This window comes from Homo sapiens, chromosome 17, assembly GCF_000001405.40.
Source record: "Homo sapiens chromosome 17, GRCh38.p14 Primary Assembly".
Classification (NCBI taxonomy): domain Eukaryota; kingdom Metazoa; phylum Chordata; class Mammalia; order Primates; family Hominidae; genus Homo; species Homo sapiens.
The window spans coordinates 27,071,943-27,094,788 of NC_000017.11; the positions used below are offsets into that span (position 1 = coordinate 27,071,943).

At 42.6% G+C, this 22,846-nt stretch overlaps 1 long non-coding RNA gene and 1 pseudogene across 1 annotated transcript; both read right to left on the bottom strand.

Annotated features, from left to right (window-relative positions):
- Window positions 1-445: 445 nt before the first annotated feature.
- Window positions 446-17,299, bottom strand: LOC105371703 (uncharacterized). The gene is made up of 4 exons (NR_135673.1): window positions 17,152-17,299; window positions 6,650-6,790; window positions 4,665-4,701; window positions 446-885 (listed from the first exon to the last, which is right to left on the bottom strand). It is a non-coding gene; the product is annotated as an uncharacterized LOC105371703 (long non-coding RNA).
- TUFMP1 (Tu translation elongation factor, mitochondrial pseudogene 1) lies at window positions 10,550-12,181 on the bottom strand (annotated as a pseudogene).
- Window positions 17,300-22,846: the final 5,547 nt, after the last annotated feature.

The following is a 22,846-nucleotide window of genomic DNA, read 5'->3' on the forward strand; positions in this document are numbered from 1 at the left end:
GCGGAAATGATCTCGATATTTCAATGGTTTTGAAAGAAGTTCTGTGTCTTCCAAAGGTGAGGAACATTTGGGCCAGAGTGTACAAGGCTGGGCAGTACTATGGAAAACAGTTAAGGGCACAAGGGTCTCCCTGTTCTCACGTGGGCTGGGGGCTTCTGCTTGGAGATCCTCTCTCTAAGTCCTGGACTCCACAAGGGCGTTGAACAGAGCTAACGCTGATGGAGACAAAAACAAACTGTATATGGCAAGATGAAGGCTAAGGTCAGGACCCCAATCAGGTAGCAAACCCCATCAAATTAGCGCAGTTCACAGTTCAGAAAGAAAGAAATGATGTAGACAGAATCAAGGCACATAAGCTTAAAAGAGTAACGTGTGCATCCCAACAATCTATAGCTCAGGTTACAACATCAAAGATGATGACAATTAACATGTTTTCAGACATGACTTTATCATTGAAAACTTGCTTTTTATTGCTTTGCCATGAGAAGCCTCATAACTAAGAAAGCAGGGGCTGGATCTGGATTAACCATGTGGTTTTGGGGGGTGAGCATGCAGTATACAGGAAACAGTACATCAGGACTGAGCCTCTTTCTTGGGGGACCCCAATGCACAGATCTGGAAAATTCTCACTTAGAAGTGAGGAAGGATGCTCAGTGCTAGGCAAGCCATGTCTAGAACAGACTCGTAGCACTTTCTTCAGTAACAGCCTTGCATGGTCTTTCCCTGAATTATCTGACTCTTGAGGTGTTTTAAAATTAAAACTAAACAGGAGCCCAGTGCAATGGCTCATGCCTGTAATACCACTGCTTTGGGAGGCCAAGGTGGGAGGATCCCATGAGTCCAGGAGTTTGAGACCAGCGTGGGCAACACAGGAAGTTTCCAACTCTACAAAAAACAAAATAAAATATATTAGCCAGGCGTGGTGGTGTGCAACTGTGTTCCTAGCTGCTTTGGAGGCTGAGGTGGGAGAATTACATGAGCCCAGGGGTTCGATGCTTCAGAGAGCTATGATCCCAGTAACTGCACTCCAGTGTGGGTGACAGAGTGAGATCGTGTCTCTAAACAAAACCAAAACCAAATAAAAATCAAAAGAACACTTATCCAGGGCCCCCATGGCTGCCACCATGAGGCCAGCCGGTGTTCTCTCCAGTCAGTAATGTGTGAGTGCCTTCATCCAGCTTGCAGCCTGAGTAGTCTCCAAGGTTGTATTTTGATTGCAAAATATTATCACTTCTGGGGAATCCCACCCACCTGCATGCTCTTCTGCCTTTCACTTTAACCTACTTTTGAAATCTCCACTCTGCCCTATCTCTAACTACAAACATGCAACAGCAGATACAACTTCCTCTCCTTTGAGCCCCTTGTTTGCTAAATCATAAATCTTGAATGTTACCATTGTACTAATGTCTGGTCATTCAGACAACATGAAGTTAATATCAGGTCATCATATATTAATGGCCAGAGAGAAAACAAACTGAGGAGAGACAGGAAGAACATATTAATACCAAAAAAGGAACAGATCTGGCTTAAATGGGATGCCTTCAATTTGCAGAAACATCACCCATTATTATCAAAGGTCATAGTCAGTTACTGCTAGAAAAATCAATAAAATTAAGGGTGGATGGGAGGAAGAGACCCAATACGTAAATTTATAGTATGTCCTCTGTATCAAAGGAACTTGGTGAACAACTGTGCGTTACTAACTTTTGGAAATAAAATTAGTTGTCAACATAGTAGACCATTTACATAGTTTCATAGGTTCCTGTTGTGAATATACTTTAAAGAACTGTATTAGTGCAAAACAGAGAAAAAATAGGGCAAGAAGACATTTAAAGATTGCATCTGCCTGTTGGTCTTCATCACCCATTTTCTTGGCCTCTTGAAGGTGTTAATGTTTTTTCTGTTTGTTTTTCAATGAAAGTGATCCTTGAACATATTCTACCTGTCCATGCCACTTAGTGCAGATTATCAGTGATCTTGATTACTGGTGATGAAAGGCTATTAGTCCATTATGCTTGTGGTATATAATAGAAGATTCTAGCTTTCTCACTGGAACATCATGGTCTGAATGTATTATTCTTAATATGGTATGTATAGTCTTGACTGCATGGTAGATGAAAAATATTCATTCATTTTCCCTCCTCTCCCTGCACCACCACCAGCAGTGATGTTAGTCCTACCAGTTTGAGAAGTCCAATCTGCAGCCCATCTTGTACCAGGGAAAGGCTGCCATGACCTGGTAAACAGGGCATTAGCCAGTGCCCTTCTCCATTAAGGGCAGACCGGTTGTCTACTGCAAACTGATGACATTTGCCATTTCTTATCTGCTTACAAATACATTTGCTCATTAACACTAGAATGCTACCTGAGAGGGTTACTGAGCTATTAAGTATCAGTCACACTAATTCTGCAGAAAGTGACTTCTCTAATGGCATTTCTCTTTAAAGAATAATCTCCTGCAGGGGGAGAGGAGCAGAGAGAACAGACAAAGGGAAGGTAGCCTGGTGAGGGGCCATGTCTAGACTTTGGCAATTTCAGTCTCTACTTTAGCGGTCTGTTTAGTCCCGTTAATCTAGAGGTCCTCAATATTGAAAATACAAGTAGGAGCAACTTAATGTTCTTGCTATCTATGAAAATATAGGTTGCTAATCAAGTTATTGGGAAGATAAGCTCGGGAGTATTTTGGGTATTTTACAATTGAATTTTCTCATGAATTTACAAAAACTTAATTTCAAATTATCATAAAATGTATTAAATCTCATGTTATGACACTTAGTTTAGAACATTTGGAAAGCCATTAGGATGAATTTCAAACCCATAACAACAGGTTCCTCTAAAGATTGATGAATTCCATTTGGTAGCAGCAGGGTTGGGAGGTGTCTAGAACTGGACTCTGACATGTGTCCTTGTTCTGTCCCACGTGTAAGAGCTCAAGCTGAGCCTGGCTTCCTGAAGACCTCAGCAAACCCTATGTAATGGGGCCTGCTTTGTGCCAGGTTCACACTGGAAAGTCTACAGACGACTTTGCATCTGGCTAGCAAAGTGACCTTGGAAGGAGCCATTACCAACTTCATGTCATACACGAGGAAAGACAATGGGGGCTCCAGCAGGTCATCTAGACCGGAGTGCAGAGTACCCTAGTGGTGATGTGAGACTGCTGACTCTGTGTGATGTCACCCAGGTTCCTGGGGCAGCTGTGGGCATGGGACTGGATCAGCTTCCACAGTGGCTCCATTTCAGCCACAGCTGGAGCTTTTCCACCCCAAAGCTTTGCTGTCCAATGCTACCACAGGGAATAACCAAATATAGCTATTTCTATCAATATTAAAATTCAGTTCCTCACTTGTAATAGCTGTATTTCAAGTATGCAGGAGTCACATATGACTTGTAGCTACGATATTGCACAGCGCAGAGATTATTCCCACCACTGCAGAAAGTTTCAGTACATGGGCAGATCCAAGTGTTGGAATTCTGCTCTCTGGCCACAAAGGCCTTTTCTCCTAAATTACGACTCAGCAGCGGGGCCCAGCCTCACTATGTTAGCTCCTTCCCTCTCCTCATCATCCAGTGGACACCTCTGATTGCCCTTCTTCCAAGCCTGGACTTTCCTACCCCAATTACCTTGGCATCCTTGATTCCCTTGGTCACTGACTTTGTGTACACACCCCTCGCTCCATGCCTAACCTTTGGCAGGTCACATCCTTTTGACTTTCCTGCGACTGTTCCTGGGATGTAGCCTATTGCTGGAAATAATGATAAAAATAATAGAATGGGAAGAACGTGTGCTAGTCAGCCTTAACTGGGTGTTATCTGCTTCTTACTCCTTCAGTTCATCCCATATTGACTCACTAACTCATCCCTTAGGATGCCTCATTCGCTAAAACCTCAGCTCCCTCATGACCCCCACCCTCTGCAGATGACCCACTTCATAGGTTGGGAAAATCACCCAAAAACCATTGACATGAGCTTCCTCAACATTTCCTGTGGCTTTCTCCTGTTTCCTTTAGCCAAGGTGACCTGTCAGCTGCTCTCCACCTGGGAGTACTAATTTCCTGCTCCCAGATCTTCGTTCATGATGTTTCTCCATTCAGAAGGCCTCTTTCCAATCTCACCTCTGCCACAAAACTGGTTTTGGGTCATCCCACCTCAAAGCAACCCCTTCCTACTCCAAATTTCCCTAACATTTTATCTGTATCTGTTCCTCTCACAGATGTCACCGGGCACTGTACCTACTAAAGTACATATAGGTGACTGCACATCTTCCCCACTAAACACAACCACTGCAAGAAGGGGGTGCTTGCCAGATTCAGCCTGGCTCCCCAGCAGCCACCAGCACAGTTCCCTGTGTAGAGAGTAGCTGGTGCATATTGACTGAATGGCTATCTATGTATCTACTTTTGCAAATGTCAGACTTACTTCTAAGGTAGACAGATTGAATTCAATAAAGAATTGATGGGCACATTTCTCCTAATAATCTCAACATGAAGTTCTAACTAAACAATTACATGACCAAAACATCTGATGGGAAGACAGAAGTGTACTTGTTGATGGCTAGAATTGCAATAAAAGTGCAGTGTCTTCCTGAGGGAGGGTGAAGTGGGTACAAAATGATAGGAAGTGGGCAAAAGAAACAAAAAAAGACATCAAAGCAGAAATAAACTTACCTTGGGTAGCGATGTAATGATTGGGTCGATAACAAACCTAAAAGTAAATAAAAGAGAATATTTGAAAAACATAAAATCAACAAACAGCAGAAAAGCCACATGCTAACTTTGCCGAAATGAATGTGTACATGAACACCAACAACTGCATCACCTCAAAGTGAAATTGGCAGACCCAGCACCACTGAGTTTCTCTTAATAAGTGAAGGTGCATCAAATACAAGAGTTCTGATGCCCATACCAAAGGTGTGGGTAACTTAATCATAACTGGCTATGAGATGATGGATGAGCAAGAAACACTAACAACATGGATTCTCAGAAATAACATGAGCATTACTCTTATAAAGTGCAAACAGGCAGAGAATTTGCAACAGAATTTCATTTGTGTTTGGAATGTTATTGGCAATGTGCCAATGGTTCAACACATATTCTATTAATATAGACAGTTATGTCAATAGTGATCCTTGAAACCATTCTTAAACACTGCTAATACCATGACATGGTACTGCACAAGGGCCAGGAATTTAAGGAGGCAGAAATTCTGAAAGACCCCTTCCTTTTATCATGACCCTGTAAGAAATGAGACAGATAAACATTGGAACCAAAGAAAAAAGGGGCCAGGTATGGTGGCTCATGCCTGTAATCCTAGCACACTTTGGGGAGGCTGAGGCTGGCAGATGGCTTGAGCTTAGGAGTTTGAGACCAGCCTGGGCAACATGGTGAAATCCCACTGCTACAAAAAATACAAAAATGAGCCAGGTGTAGTGGCATGCACCTGCAGTCCCACCTACTTGAGGGCCTGAGGCAGGAGACTTGCATGAGCCCTGGGGCTCAAGGCTGCAATAAGCCAAGATTGCACCACTGCACTTCAGCCTGGGTGACAAAGTAAATAAAAGAGAATATTTGAAAAAAAAAGAAAAGAAAGAAAAGAAGAGGAGGAAGAAACAAAAAAATGTAGGGTAAGTATCTGGGAAAGATAAAACAAAATCTCAACTCAGAGAAAATTACACCCAATAACATATCGCCATGGAGCTTAATACTTTCTATTTCTGCCCGGAGATTACCCAAAATATACTGTGCCCAAAGCTGGCTGGAAAACAGGAAAAAAAAAAAACTTGAACAGAAAACTCAGATTTGTCAGATAACTTAAATGCATGTGTTAGATTATTTTGCTCTTAAAAACAAGTAGAAAACAATGAACAACAAAAGCAAACATTCTTTTATCCAGTTGACTTGCTGTAGGTCTCAAATTATAGAACCATGACCAATATTAAATAGAACTCTTTAAACCATCACTCATTTCTCGTCGGCTGGTAAGTCCCACAAGGAACTTTGACTTATCCACACTATACATCAGAATGCCTAGCAAGGTCCCCAAGTAGATAGAAGGGACTCATCTGATGTTGAAGTGACCCAGAGTCCACAGTGGCCTGTGTTGCTGAACTCAGTCCTCATCTACTTGGCCATTGGTAGCATGAGTAAGATCAATCCCCTTAAAATACTGTCTTCACTGGCTCCAGGATATGACTCTCCTGGTTTTCTTCCTACCTACCTCCCTGGCCACTTGTTCTCAGTTTCACTGGCTGGTTCTTTCTTTTCAACTTGATGTGGAAGGCCTGGTTCTTGGACTTTTCCCCCATCTGTTTTCACTCTCTGGGTGAGCTCCTCCAGTCCCATGGCCTTGAAGCTTGTCTGTACATGATGAATCCTATGTTATTGTTTCTAGGCCAGACCTTTTCCTGGAAATCTTCATGCATACCCACTGCCTGCTCAACACCTCCAGTGGGAAGGCTAATATATATTTAAAGCTTCACACACCTAACAATGAACTCCTCATTTCCTCCCTAGTCCCTACCCCAATTTGCTCCACCTGTCTTCTCCTCAGCATCCCTGACCCCTCCTCTCCCTCCTGCACCCCATAGCCAATCTGCCAGCAAATCCTACTGGCTCTACCTTCAACGTAGCTCAAGGGTCTTGCCATTTCTCACCTCCACTGCCACCTCTCTGATGACTCCCACAGCCACACAGCAGGCTTCTCTGCTTTAAGTGCCATCTGAAGACAGGTGCACAGTGTTCACGGTGCTGCCAACAGGGAGGTGATTAGCTGGCACTGGCACCACCTGGCACATCTGGGCATTAAAAGGGAGGAAATCTCCATTAGAGACACAAATATATAAGTTTCATTAATCCTATCAAGCTCTCGTTAATGCTATTATGCCTGACATGAGAATTCACTAGGCTTCCTGATGAAAATAAGACGGATACATATCTCTAAGAATAATGTACACAAATTATATGGCAAAAATATAAAAGTTCATACAATGGGCAATAGAATAAATATGAATGGCCATCCAACAGATGAAAAATTTCTTGTTAATTCAAATTACTTTTGAATAGGAAAAAGTATTTGCTAAACACTTTGAATCATTATGTATATGTGTTGTATCTAACACTTATTAAAGCAAAGATCTACAGAAACAGCACTTCCTGAAATTTCTTTAGTAAATGAATTTAAGATCATTAATTTTGTTTAAAGGACAAAAATTGTCTTATTCATCTTTATATATCCTTTGCATTATATCCAATGCAAAGGCTAACTCAAAGTTATTTAATGAATATGGAAAGAAGGAAAAAAGACAGCCAAAGAAAGTCAAGAGGGAAAGCTGAGAAGAGGGAGAGGGAAAAACAAGTAAAAAATATGAAGGTCCATGACAGATCCTAACTTAGCACATGAGGGGTTATTGAAATTCACCAACAAAAAGTTGGGGGAAAAGACCTAAATTTAGACAAGGCTGTCAAACTGTAGTTTCTTTTGTCAGCAATTTATAGATCTTATATCCCAGCTGAAAATCACTTGCTAATCTAATGTCAAATCCAAGTTCAAAGAGACTTATGTAGACTTAATCAACAGGGAGAAATCACTGATAGTTATAAAGATCCTGATCACAGAGGACTTTCTGGCTGGAAACAATGATCTTAGGGCTACCAAAGTCTTCAGAGCCAAAATAAAGCTAGAATGCTTAACAAAACAAGATGGGAGAGGTGGCAGTAAGAGAAGACTGGAATTATTTGAGTTAGTTCAGACTTGTTATTTAGTTACTCGTCTATGGGGAGTTGGAATGTACCCCCCAGTCTCTTCTTCACAGAGATTTACGTAAGGAGGAAAATGTTCCATCTAAATCATTTAGGAAGTTCCAGGCAACTGACCTGAGAGTATCACGTAATCCAGACCCCAATTTGCTTACTCCTCTTCCAACTGAGTTAGTAGTATACAGGTAACGACTATCTGCCGTGAGACAGCATCCCAAATCAGCATCTCAAAGCATTTTTTCACCGGTAAATTATATATATGCTTTTTCCATTGAAATTATAAACATGCTTTTTGTAACGTAAAAGCCATTAAGGAGGCTGAGTGGATGATAACCTCCCACTTCTAAAATAAGAGCTTCAGTGTGACTTTCAGGGAAGGTGGCTTGAACCCCCAAATCAAACATTCAAAATGCATGTGGACCAGGGTCCAAGAGAAGGTCAAATAGTTATCAGCAGGAAAATGTGGTTTAGCCTGCCAAGTGTTTTTCTTTTTTTTTGAAAAGCTTGTATTGAGTCAAGTTTAAACATTCCTAATTACAATTTGAAATGACTAATTCTAATTTTAATTTGAAGTAACTGAGTACAGTACAACAGTTTAATAATTGTGTAGTAAGACGCAGGAGCTCTTATCAGCTCAGTAAGTGACCTTGAAACTCTTTGAACATCAGTTTCTTCATCTGTAAGATGAGAATAATAATACGTACCTGAAGGTTTACAGCGATGGCCAGATGAAATAATAGAGTTAAATACATCTATGTTGTTCTCTGGTTTAAAGCCACAACTCCAAAAATGGCAAATGAAATTATGTTAATATACTAATGATACACATTGAACTAAAATCTGTTTCTGTGGATTTTCCATTCAAAGATCTTAATCAGTCTCTGGAGGAATAAAGCACAGAAGTTAAATATCTTTTCTATTTTAGGCCAGGTGCAGTGGCTCATGCCTGTAATCCCAGCACTTTGGGAGACGAAGGTGGGCAGATCACAAGGTCAGGAGATCAAGACCATCCTGGCTAACATGGTGAAACCCTGTATCTACTAAAAATACAAAAAATTAGCCGGGCATGATGGCACGCACCTGTAGTCCCAGCTACTCGGGAGGCCAAGGCAGGAGAGTCACTTGAACCTGGGAGGCAGAGGTTGCAATGAACTGAGATCATATCACTGCAATCCAGCCTGGGCGACAAAGCGAGATTCCATTTCATATATATATGTGTGTATATATATATATATATATATATATATATATATATATATATATATTTGTGTATATATATAAAATTTGTTTTGAAATAGCAATACATTTCCCCTTAGCTCTTTCTCAATCTAAAATAAACAGTATCTCTATGATAGTAATTGGTTTACTAACTTATATTGCAAAGAATATGCCTTAAATTGAAGCTTATGGATAAAACTTTCAGTGTTTATTTTCATAATCACGCTGCTCACTATGTTTAAGAGGAGTCTTTCCACCTGAAGCATGGCTTACTAGCTGGACGAAATGCAATGTCACACCATCAAATTAGTACTGAAAATGCTGCCAGCTTTAAAATTCAGTCTACTAATCTGAGACAACTGGGACCTGTATCTATTGGTTCCTCAAATGAAACCTCGTTAAAGTGGGTAACCATTTTTAAAACAATAATTTCACATCTTCAACATTTTTAACTTAAAACTTGTAAATGACCTTTACTCACCGATCTTTAAGGCCCAAGGCCTTTTGCTTATGGCTCTGTGGAGGGGCAGAAGTGAAAAGGACAAACAGAAGATTGGCCAGGAGTGGACACTGGTTGAAGCTGAGTGATGAGGACACAGGGCTTATTATAGTGTACTCTCAACTTCAGTCAAATATGGCACATTTCAATATTAAAAGTTAAATACATTAGTCTAAATACTATTTATAAGAAAAACAGGCCAGGCACAGTGGCTCACACCTGAATCTCTGTAATACTGGGTAAGCAGAGGAGGGAGGATAGCTTGAGCCTAGGAGTTAAAGACCAGCCTGGGCAACATAGCCAGACCCGTTTCTACAAATAAATAAAATAATTATCCAGGTGTGGTGGTGTGTACCTGTGGTCCCAGCTATTGGAGGCTGAGATGGAAGCATCACTTGAGCCTGGGAGGTCCAGGCTGCAGTGAGCTGTGATTGCACCACTGCACTCCAGCTTCGGCAATGGAGCAAGACCATGTCTCAAAGAAAAAAATAAGAAAGAAAATTAAAAAAGAGAAAAACAGGAAAAACATCCTCTCCCTAGATGACAAACCAAAGGTTCAAGAGAATGAAAGCAAACAGACCAGCTTAATACCATCCTCTTCAGTGAGAAACTACCCCAAGGGAGACACCAAATGGAATAAAGGGAGAGAATCAAAGAAACAGTTTTAGCTCTGGGTTAAGATGTAAGTTGGAGCCTATAGTGTCTGAGAACTTCTTGTATACTGCAGGCATTCTGCCTCTCCTGTTGACTCTTGTTGAGTCAGTGAAGGAAATAAATCCTATCTAAAAAGCCTTGCCTCTGCCTCTCCACTCACTTGCATGCCTGTTTAGAAGAAATGGTAGAACATGGGAAGGCACAGACCGTAGGTGAGAGGTGCCAGGGAGCCTGCTGCTTAGATTCTGCTCCTGCCCTTGGGGTTGCCCAGTAAGGCTCTCCCATGGAGGGTGGGAAAGGAAGGGGTGAATGGAACAGACTCTCAATCCCACACCTGATGAAAACCAGTTTCTTACAGACTCACTTCATTGAGTCTTTCTAAAACATTCAATTTCTTTTCTTGTTTTTTGTTTGTTTGTTTGTTTTTTTACTATTCACAGAAGTTTACTGACCTCCCCGGCACCTCCCCGGCCAGGCAGGCCAACCTTTCCGACCAGGGGAAATGTCCTTCTACCTGCCCTCTGCTGGGTTGCAGCCTATTCCATGAGGGGGCACTGGAAGCAGGAGGGAGTTCTGGCTAGGGCAGACCTTAAACGCAAGGGAAGCTGAGCAGAGGTTTGCACACTCAACCCCACTTGATGTTCTTCTCCTCCTCAGTCATGGCCAGCGTGTTGGTGACTAGACCGGTGCCAATAATCCAGTTGCCATCTCTCAGGGTGAAGCACTGGCCTTTCTCTAAGATCACTGGCTGCCGCAAGATTAGGTTGAACTTCAGGTTCTCCCCGGGCATGGCAAGCTACTTCTCTGGGGGCAGGATAATCCAACAGGCCATGTCCCAAGTCAGGGAGAACATGACTGGCATGAAGTAGGACACAAAGGGCTTGTGGTGGCCACCTTCCTCCTTGCTGAGGATGTAAACCTGGGCCTCCACCTTCTGGTGGGGCTTGATGGAACCCGGCTTGACCATGACCAGACCCCGCCACAAGTCCTCCCTCGGACCAGGGCCCTGAGGTTATCTCCAGCCTCGGCCCTCTCCAGGCTCTTGTGGAACATCTCAATGCCTGTCAGCACAGTGCAGATGTTCTTATTATGTCCTAGGAGCTCACGCTTGTCTCCTTTCTTTAAAATGTCATGCTCTAGCATACCTGTCACCATGGTGCCATGGCCAGACATGGAGTACACTGCCTCTACAGTCAGCAGGAAAGGCTTCTCCAGGTCACGGGCAGGCACTGGGATGTAAGTGTCCACAGCATCCAGTAGCTTCTGCACAGACTTCAGACCTAACTCAGGGTCCCGACCCTCAAGGGCAGACAGTAGAGCCTACAATGACTGGGGTCTCCTCCCCTTTATAGCCAAACTCAGTGAACAGCTCCTGAATCTCCAGTTCCACCAGCTCCACCATCTCAGAGTCCTGGACAGCATCAGCCTTGTTCACATACACCACCACATGCTCCACCCCAATCTATTTGGCCAGTAATAAGTGCTCTCGGGTCTAGGGCATGGGGCTGTCATTGGCTGCTACCACCAGGAGGCAGCCGTCAAGGGGTGTGGTGCCCGTGATCATATACTTAACATAATCTGCATGACCCGGGCTGTCTGTGTGGGCATAGTGGTGGGCGACAGTGCTATACTCCACATGAGCCACACTGATGGTGATACCTGGAGCTTGCTCCTCTGGGGGCATTGTCAATCTCCTTGTACTTCTTGAACTTAGCCCCACCTCCCTCGGCTAGAATCTTTGTGATAGCTGCAATCAGTTTGGTCTTGCCATGGTCCACATGGCCGATGGTACCCACATTCACATGTGGCTTCTCACACACGTTAAGTCTTCTTGGCCCCCACAGCCAGGCCGTGGCACAAGAGAGGCAATGCCAGGGCTTTCAGCAGCAGCAGCAGACCCTGCAGCAGGAAGGTCCGGCCGGCAGCGAGACCGCTGAAGTGAGGCGTCGCGCGCAGCAAGGTGGCAGCCGCCATTGTGGTCATACTCTCACCCCCGGAACCAAGAAATGGGGACCAGGAGCCCGAGCGTGCAGCAGAGGAAGGGCGCTTGTAGGTGGAAACAACATTCAACTTCTTAATGACAACTATTTCCTGTTTTTTTTTCATTCCTGTTTCATCAATTATGGATGATGTAATATTATCACAATAGTAAATACCAGTTACAATTAACAAACCGGTTTGGGAGCAAGGCTGACTCTTGGTGAGCCAGCAACTCCTCTGGTTGGAGCAGCAGTGCACAGATGTGTCAAGCAGTTTCTTGCCTACAAGAAACTCAGTTCATCTATGAAGACATACATAGACTGAAAGTGAAGGGATGATAAAAGATATCCTATGCAAATGGAAACAAAAAAGCAGGAGTAGCTATAATACTTAGACAAAATAGACTTTAAGATTAAAAAAAGATAATTGTATAATGAGAAAAAAGTAAACAGCAGCCTAACAATTATAAATGAATATGCAACCAACACTGAAGCATCTAAATACAGAAGCAAATATTCACAGGCCTTAAAGGATAGATGGAATGCAATACAATAGAATACCTCAACACTCCACTATAATCAACACCCCACTATTGTCAATGGACAGATCATCCAGACAGACATCATTAGTTCAGTAGCACATGAATTATTCTCCAACACAGACTATGTGTTAGGCCAAAAAACAAGTCTCAGCACAATTTCAAAAACTGAATTCATATCAAGTATCTTTTCTAACCACAGTAGAATAGTGTTAGAAATCAGTAACAGGAGAAACTTTAAAACCTGTACAAATATATGGAAATTAAAATACAGGGTCATGAACAACCAATGGAAAAAAAGGAAATTAAATGTTTATTGAAACAAGAATAGAAACACAACATAACAAATCCTGTGGGATGCAGCAAAGGCAGTTCTAAGAGGAAAAGGGCATAGCTATAAATGCCTTCATCAGAAAAGTAGAAACATCTCAAATAGCCAACCTGACAGTACACCTCCAGTAATGAGAAAAACAAAAAAAATTCAAATGCTAGAATCAGTAGAAAAAATATCATAAAGATTAGGGCGGAAATTTTAAAAACAGAAACAAAACATACAAAAAGTCAATGGAACAAAGAGCTGGGGTGATTTAGAAAAAAAAAATCAAAATTGACAAGCTTTAGCTAGACTAAGGATAAGAAAAAGAAACAAAACCATAGATGAAAAAGCAAACATTACAATTAAACACAAAAATACAAAGGATTGTAAATGATTACTAAAGACGTTTATATACAAACTGAAAAATCTAGAAGTGCTTCAATTTCTAGACACATAATGAATTCCCAAGATAGAATGATAAACAAAAAACCTGAACAGACCAATAATGAGTAATGCAATTAAAGCAGTAATAAAAAGTCTCCCAGCAAAGAAAAACACAAGAATCATGGTTTTACTGCTGAGTTACCAAGCATTTTTTAAAGAGCTAATACCAATTCTACTCAAAATGTTCCCCATAAAATGAACAGGAGAGAAGGCTTCGAAACTTGTTCTATGAGGACAGCATGACCCTGGTACAAAAACCAGAGCAGGACACAACACACAAAGACAACCACAGGCATTTTAAATAACCCTGATGAACACAGATGCAAAAAGTCCTCAACAAAATACTTGAAAATTGCATTTGACAACACAATAAAATGATCATGTGCCATGATCAAGTGAGATTCATCCCGGGAATATGAGGATGATTCAATAAACACAAATAAATGTGTAACATCACATTCAGTGAATCAAGAAAACACATAAATCATTTAAGTAGATGCTGAAAAAAAAATCATTTCTTCATAGAAACTCAACATGAGTACAGAAGGAACATGTCTCAGTGCAATAAAGGCCATATATGACAAACCCACAGCTAACATCATAATCAATGGAGAAAAGTTAAAAGCTCTTCCTCCAAGATCTGGAACAAGTATGGCTACTTTTACACCACTTTCATTCATCATAGTACTGCAAGTCCTAGCTACAGCAATTAGACAAGAGAGTGCAATAAAAAGCATCCAAATTGGAAAAAAAGGAAGTCAAATTTCGTGTTTGCAGGTGACATAAACTTATACATATCTAGAGAGAGAGAGAACCCTAAAAATTCCACAAAAATCCTACTAGAAATAATAAATTTAGTCAAGTTGCAAGATACAGTATCAACATATAAAAATGAGTAGCATGCCCATGCACCAATAGCGAAATACCTAAGAAAGAAATCAAGAAAGCTATTTCATTTCAAAAAAATATATATCTAGGGATAAACTTAACCAAGAAGGCAAAAGATACCACAATGAAAACTATAAAACACAGATGAAAGATATTAAAGCAGACATAAGTAAATGGAAAGATATCCCATGTCCATGCACTAGAAGAATATTGTTAAAATATCTATATCAACCAATGGGATCTACAGAATCAATGCAATCCATCTTAAATTACAAAAGACATTCTTAATAGAAATAGAAAAAACCATCCTAAAATTCATACGGAAATGCAAAATAACTCAGACAGACAAAAGAAATAAAATGAAAAGTTGGAAGCATCACACTACCTGATTTCAAAATATACTACAAATCTATAGTACGCATGGTACTATCAAAACAGCATGGTACTATCAATAAAAAGGGCGGGGGAGAGACAGAGATGAACAAATGACAGACAAGTGAAGCACAATACACAAATCAGGAATAAATTCATGCATTTATTGTCAACCTATTTTTAACAAAGGCACCAAGAACACACATTTGGGAAGGACAATATCTTCAATAAACTGTGCTAGGAAAACCCAACACCCACATGTACAAGAATCTATCTAGGCCGTTATCTTACCATATACAAACATCTACTCAAAATAAAGATTTAAATGTAGGACCTGAAACTATGAAACTACTAGAGAAGAAAACATAGGATAAATGCTTCATGAAACTGGAGAAGACGAGGAATTTTCAAATAGACATCAAAAGCACAAACAACAGCAAACATGTAATTACATTAAACTTAAAAGCTTCTGCAGGCTGGGTGCAGTGGCTCATGCCTGTAATCCTAGCACTTTGGGAGGCCGAGATGGGCGGATCACGATGTCAGGAGATTGAGACCATCCTGGCTAACATGGTAAAACCCTGTATCTACTAAAAATACAACAAATTAGCTGGGCGTGGTAGTGTGCACCTGTAGTCCCAGCTATTCAGGAGGCTGAGGCAGGAGAATGGCATGAACCCAGGAGTCGGAGCTTGCAGTGAGCCAACACCACGCCACTGCATTCCAGCCTGGGCAACAGAGTGAGACTCCGTCTCAAAAAGAAAAAGGCTGCTGCAAAGCACAGGAAGCAATCAGTAGAATGAAGAAACAGGCTGGGTGCAGTGGCTTACGCCTGTACACTCAGCACTTTGGGAGGCTGAGGCACGCCGATCACAAGGCCAGGAGATCAAGACCATCTTGGCTAACACAGTGAAACCCCGTCTCTACTAAAAATACAAAAAAATTGTCCGGGCGTGGTGGCAGGCACCTGCAGTCCCAGCTATTCAGGAGACCAAGGCAGGAAAATGGTGTGAACCCAGGAGGCAGAGCTTGCAGTGAGCTGAGATTGTGCCACTGCACTCCAACCTGAGCGACAGAATGAGACTCCATCTAAAAAAAATTAAATTAAATTAAAAATTTTTAAAAATGAAGAAACAACCCAGAGAATGGAAGCAAGTATTTGCAAACTATGCATCAGGCAAGGGATTCATGCACAAAATATATGAAGATCTCAGACTATTCAAAAACAAAAATACAAATGATCTTATTTAAAAAATCTACTCAAAACCATTGTCCCCCACCATTATTTCCCTACCTTCTTTTCCCGAGCACCTTTGGCCCCCTTCCCCTCGCCACCCTTTTTCTTCCATCTGCCCCCAAACTTCTTCACCATTTTTTTCCCCACCATCATTTCACAAAGCCTTCTCTACTCTCCTGCTCAACACCTTTTCCCCATCCATTTACCCAAACCCCTTCCCCACTGTTTCTTCCCACCATCTTTTCCCCTTATCCCTGGCCACCCTTTTTCCCCCTCCTGCTCTCATCACCCTCTTTTGCTCCTTCATCTAAGCAAAAACATTTTCCCCCATCTTTTCCCAAAACCTTCTCCCCACTCCTACTGCTCGCCACCCTCTTTTCCCCCTTCATCTACCCAAAAACTCTTTTCTTCATCGTCTTTCCCCCCGTTCCTCCTTGCTATTCTCTTTCCCTTTTCCATCAACCCAAAAACATTTCCCCCCATCTTTTCACACAGCCTTCTCCCTACTCCTGCCTACCTCCCTCTCTTCCTTCTCCATCTACCCCCCAAAACTTTTCCCACCATCTTTTCAAAGTCTCCCCCCTTTACCACTCATGCTCTTCTTTTCCCTATCCTGCTTGCCACCCTCTTTTTTGCCCTCCATCTACACCAAACTATGTTTCCGTCGTTTTCCCAATCCTCTGTGCCTGCTCCCTCTGGCCACCCTCTTTCCTCCTCCTCATCACCCTCTTTCCCCCACCATCTATCAAAACACTTTTTACCCACTGTCTTTCCTTTCTCCACCATCTTTCTTTTCTGCCACTGTCTTTTCACAAAACCTTGTCTTCCTCCTGCTGGCTACCCTCTTTTTCTTTCTCCCACTTGCTACCCTCTTTTGCTCCTCTACCCAAAAACTTTCCCCCACACTGTATTTTCTCCCCACTGTCTTTTCACAAAGCCTTCTCTCCCTACTGCTCGCCCCCCTTTTCCCCCATCACCTTCCTCTCTTTCCTCCTCCCACTTGCCACCCTCTTTTCCCCCTCCATCTACCCTGAAACTTTTTACCCACCGTCTTTCTGCAAAACCTTCCTTCCCTCCCGCTCCCCACCCTGTATTTCCGCCTCCATTTACCCAAAAACTTTTTTCCCCACCATCTTTTCGCCGCCATCTTTTTGCAACGCCCCTTCTCCGGCTAAGCTATCCTTTTCTGCCTTTGGCACTAACTACCCTCTTTACTCCCCTCCATCTATCCCAAAACTGTTTTCCTTCTCCTACCGCTCCAGCCGCACTCCTATCTCCGTCGCTGCCAACAACCGCAGCGAGGCGAGCCGCGCTCCCGCGGCTCCAGCCTCCAGCATACGGCCACTGACTCCTGATTCCTAGTCCTCCATGCCGTGGAGCGAGCAACTCAACGGGAAGACACAGGAACCTGAAAACACCTGACTGCTCTTCAGCATCATTTATATACTGCGGCTATGCCCACGGAGGTTCCTGGACTGCATGTTTTGATTGGATGAGAAAAAACCTCCAGGCTTACTCTGATTGGACTTTATGATCATGTTCTGATTGGATGAGAGCAAGTCTTAACACAACCAATCACAGCATGAAAATAAAGTCCAATCAGAGTAGGCCTAGAGGTTTTTCTCTCATCCAATCAGAATATGTAGTCCAGGAACGGCATTTGCATAACCTCGGTATATAAAGCATGGTGAGGTCGCATCAGGTCATTTCAGGCTCTGCTGTGTCAAGTCGGGGAGCGGCTCTTTGCTCAGCTTAGAGAACTGGAAGAGGCCGCAACCTTCTGCCTGCTGGAGGCTGGAGGATGGATGGAGCCTGGAGCCTGGGACACTACCTTGCTGTGGTTGGTGGTGGCGACAGAGCAGTAAGAGGGTGGCCGGCAGCAGGAGCTTGTCCTGCTGGGCTGGAGGACTAGGAGAAGGAAGAGGCACCACCACATGCTGGAGGCTGAAGCCTGGAGTCTGTGCCACCATGGCTCGCCTCGCTGTGGTTGGTGGTGACGCTGGAGACTGCAGCTGGGCCACAGTGGTAGAAATGTGATGGGGTAGGTGAGTTTTCTGGGCTGCCCTGTACGCTTCTGGGGGCAAGGGTTGGGTGTCCTTTTGGTGATCACTGCTAGAGGCCACCCTGCCTGTGTCAGTGGTCTGGTTGGGGGCACTCTCCAGGGTTGCATTGCTGGTAGTGGGGCAGGTTGGCTGGCTATCTGGGGCTATACTGCCTGCGGTGGCAGGGGTGGTGGGGGGAGGCAGATTGTGTACAGTAATGTGTGCTGCTGGTGGCTGGTGAAGGATTAGGGGCACTATCTTCTGCTGCACTGCCCACAGCAGGGGGTGGGTTGGGTGGAGTTATCTGGGTCTACAATGCTGGCAGTGGGGGGTGGTTTAGGGGCATTGTTGGGTGCTGCACTGCCTGTGACTGGGGGGTGCACCATCAGGAGCTGAACTGCCCGTGATGGGGTGGGGGGAGGCGGGTTTGGGATGCTATCTAATGCAGCAACACCCGTGGCTGGGTCAGATTGTGGGCACTATTGGGTGGTACACTCCCTGAGGTGTGGGGGGAGTGCTTTGGGGGGGGGGCATTGGGGTTACATTGCCTGAAACTGTAGGGTGTGTTGGATGTGCTATCCGGGGGCTACACTGCTAGTGGCAGGGGGCAGATTAGGGGTGCTATGGGGGCTACACTGCCAGCAGCATTGGTGAGCTGAGGAGGTGGCAGCAGCAGCGACAGCAGTGGTCTCCTTCTTCTGGTGGCCTCCAAGTAAGAGATCGTTCTCCTCTTCCCGGACTCCAGACTCTAGAAGGCAATTTTCTCCCGCTCGAGCTAGATTGCACGGCAGGGCCCCCACACCCACTGTGGTTTCCCAGCCTGCCGTCATGCTCTGTGTTGCAAAGACCACCTAGGACTACTGGGCAGGGACTAGTAGGCACCATGGGGGAAGTTGGGGACAGGGCACTGTGGGTGGAGGTGTCAGGAATGGGAACCAGCCCTTGGGTGGGGAGGGCTGGCTGGGTCTGAGTTTCTCCTACTTGGGTTCCCCGAGAAGGGCAGGCTTGGTGGACCCAGCAATTCCTGGCCAGCTGGACTTGGCCAGGGGCCAGTTTCAGTGAAGGCATTCACTCTCTCCCCAGGCCCCAGTTCCTGGCCAGCTTTTGCCAGAAGGAGAGGCTGGACTTTGGAAGGTGGGTGTGAGTGCCTTCAATGAAACGGATCCCTGCCACCTAGTCACCAGCGTGACAAGATGAGGCTCTAACGGTTCCACTCCCTGAGTCCTGTCTTGGGCTTTTCTGGCTTTGCCTGCCCAACTGCTCCAAGCCAGGCTGAAGGAGGAGAAGGAGGAGTCACCTGTGGTACGGTCGAGCAGATGATGTGGCTCTGCAGCTTGCCTCATGTGTTTGGTGGTGGTGATGGAGACCGCAGCTCAACTGGAGCAGTAGGAGGGCACCCACGGGGACCAGGCGGTAGGATCCTGGTAGGGTGGGCTGATACATTGAGGGTGACAGTGGTTGTATTGGCATTGGTGCTAGTGGTGGTAGCAGTAGGAAGTCTGGGGAACGGGAAGCGGGAGTAGGAGCACTGCAGGGCCTATCCCATTCTGGGGCGGGGAGGAAACTTTAGGTGCTGTAACGAAGGCCTTGGTGGCAGTGGTGGTGGTACATCTAGGGCAAAGAGGAGTCCTCCCCCTTTTCCTGCAGTCTCTGGAGGGTGCCCTCCTCCTGCTGGTGCCTGAGCTAGGCATGAGTAGCAGCATTATCTCATTCTTAACAAAATTTAGGGGGTGACTATTTGTGTATCCTTTTGCTTGTTTTTTGTTGTGATACTCTGGGAGTTACTCAAATTTTATGAATGGAGGAGGGGATAAAAGGTATCATAATAGGCCTTCTAATTCCCACACCTGTTCTTTTTCCTTTCTTCCATTGTGTATTTTCTTCTCATTTTCTTGTTCCTCTTCATTTTCTTTTGCTACTGCTTCTGTCTCATGTTTGTATTCTTGTTTCTCCTCCTGTTTTTGTTTTTGTTTTATACCAAGCAACGGCCTTAACACACCAAAACTGAGTTGAAAATAAAATACTTGTCACTGTTGTATTTTTTAAATAACTGATCCCTTACTATGTTTTAGAAATGAGGAAAAAAGTCAGTTGTATAATTAGTTACTTGAATAGCTATGCTTTCATAATCGTGTTAATGCACTTATGCCTAGTGTTCCATTATTGGGACATTACTTATATCCTACTGCTAAATGTCATCAACAAGGTCTGATTTTTCACTTATGCAAAAATTCAAAAAATGGCAACCTCTGGCATAAATGGGCTAATGCATTGTAAGTGTTATTCAAGGAATCAAAAAATGAAGCATCACATAAAATATTAGTAGCAAACAGCCATTTCATCTCTCTCACATATTTTTTCTGGAGCTATGGAGGAGTCACAGGGGTAATAAGTTCTAATTTATGAGATGATTAAGTGAACCATATTCCCTTCATTTTTTTTCTCTGCCACCATTTTCAAGAGTATTGTCATCTGCATGAGCAAACCTGGTTTATCACCACATCTTTGCAAGAGGAAAAAGAAAGGGGGAGAATCATGTATAACGTTGTAAGGCAAAGATTCACAACCAAAAACAAGGTTTTATTAACTTTCGCCTTTAAGAACCTTCAGTGTTTAGCCCTCTTTGATTCCTAGTATTACTACCTTTGGTATGAACTCTTTTTTTAAACTGATCCACTCTAGAAGTTTATGCATTTTGTATCATTTTTCAAGCCAACAGAAATGTGTAAGGCCTATAATTCTGACATTTTTAGTTATTTTTAAGGCTGTGAGCATGTAAGATAGTGTTCATATATGGAAGAATATGTATAAATACCACTAGGTAGCTTATTTTGAAGAGATAGTATCTAAATTTTTGTCCAGAGTAGATTGGTTGCAGTTTCTTAGGTGTGTCTCTTAATACGTTGCCTCAATGTTTTAAAGCATGTAGAAATTTGAACACAGTTTAACTTCATATAGTCCTTTGTTTATAGGTTTAATACTTCTAAAGACTGAAGACATCACAGCTCCCTTTAAGATTCAGTAATATTAATAAAATTTTAGAAATATAGGGTTAGAATCCAACAAATTCAGAGGAAAATTGTTAAATTATATAGCTGTAGAGCAGGAATGAAACCCAGGTTCTAAGCTCTAAGGGGGCCATGAGGTACCATACAGGTGCATCAGTGACTGGGCATAGATTCAGCAAAATTACAGGATGGTTAAGAGAGTGAGCTGTGGAGCCCAACTCTATGTAAACATGAATTTTTAAACTGCATGGTGCCTCAGTTTATCCATCTTTACAGTGGGGACTGTAGTTAAGTTTTTCTCCTCAGTTGTCTGTCTTGTTGCCACTGTTCCCTAGTCTGTCTTGTTACCACTCAGTGCCCACATGAGAGGATCTAAGGTAATTTCTGACAGGCTGGGACTCCTTAAAGAAAAATAGAAGGTGCTACAAAACCCATTTTAGGAGAAACTTCTGTTGTCCTCATGGAACCTCAAGAACTTCAGGCAGACAGGTCTCTCAAACTCTAAGGCTCTCCTCTGTTTTGCTTTGCGTTATCTGACCTTTTAAGTTTGGGTGGGAATCAGAAATCAGTCAGGGAGAGAGATCTAGAGAAAGTTGTGGATATGAAGATGTATTTATGTTAAGAAAAGTTGTGAAGCAAAGAAATGTTATATAAGAGAGGATCTTGTATGGCAAATTTTTGTCCTAAAGTAGAATGACTAATTATGAAAGAGGGAAATAAAGGAAAAGTCAGAAAGTTCATGTCATAGATGGTCTGTGGAAGTTGCGTTAGGGTTCATAAAATGAGAAAGAAAAACTTACAACTGCTAGATCTTTTCCTGTCTAGAAGTGTTGTGTATGTGATGTATATATAAAGGAGCCCTAATTACTTGGCTTAGAAGAAAAGGAAGGTTCTTAAATATTTTGTCAGAAAAATAGAAGCTCTAATGCCTTTTATTTCACATGACTTCAGTAATCTTTGGGAAATAAAGACAGTGTTAAAATCATTGGTAAAAAAACATCAAAATTTATCCATTTTGTCTAATTTAAGTCAGAGGTTAAATTTTAGAAGTGCTTTAATGTCACAAATTGTTTGACTTCGGAAAATTGTTCTGTTTACCTGGTTTGGAGCTGTTCAATTTCTAGGTAAGGGCTGGGGACAGGTGGAATTAGCCATGTCTCCTGGCTATGCTGGAAAGAGTCAGACTTTACCTACAGTTCTGTCTTGTATCCTATACGCTGCACCTGGTACGTTATTAAAACTTCCTGCTGCTTCTAATCTCTTGAGTTCCACTTAAAATTTTTTCATCACTTGAATACTATTCCCTGTACTAAATTTTTCCACAATTAAATACTTAGAATCATTTTTGCCCACTTGACCCAAGCATTAGTGATATATCTTTAAAATACTTATAATGTGTCACAATATATTTATCAAATGTAGGGAACGGCATTTTTACTTTTGTCAGCATTTATGTAGCAATGCTATCTCAAGTATTTTTAGTCATTTAAATGTTGCATAATATGCTTTTGATTCCTTTGTTTCTATGTAAATAAATATGAGATATTCAATAAATAGTATCAATGTTTCATTTATAGAATATATTTATTAGGGTTATTTTTAAACACTACATCATATTTACTTGTTGGCTTTATAAGTTAGAAATAATATTTTGGATTAACTGTGTGACTCATGAGAGAGGGAGTTTGTGCAATTATAATCTTTACAAATTTTTACTTGATTTTCAAGACTTACACTGCAACTGTTAGAACAAGGTAATAAGCATATCTATTAATATCAACTCTTGGCTAGACCCAATGATAGTGTAGGAATTAACATAATTTTTCCTGCTAAAGGTATTGGATTTGTTTTGAGAGACTGCAGTTTAAAATCATTGACATAGAAAGTTTAAAAATTGTT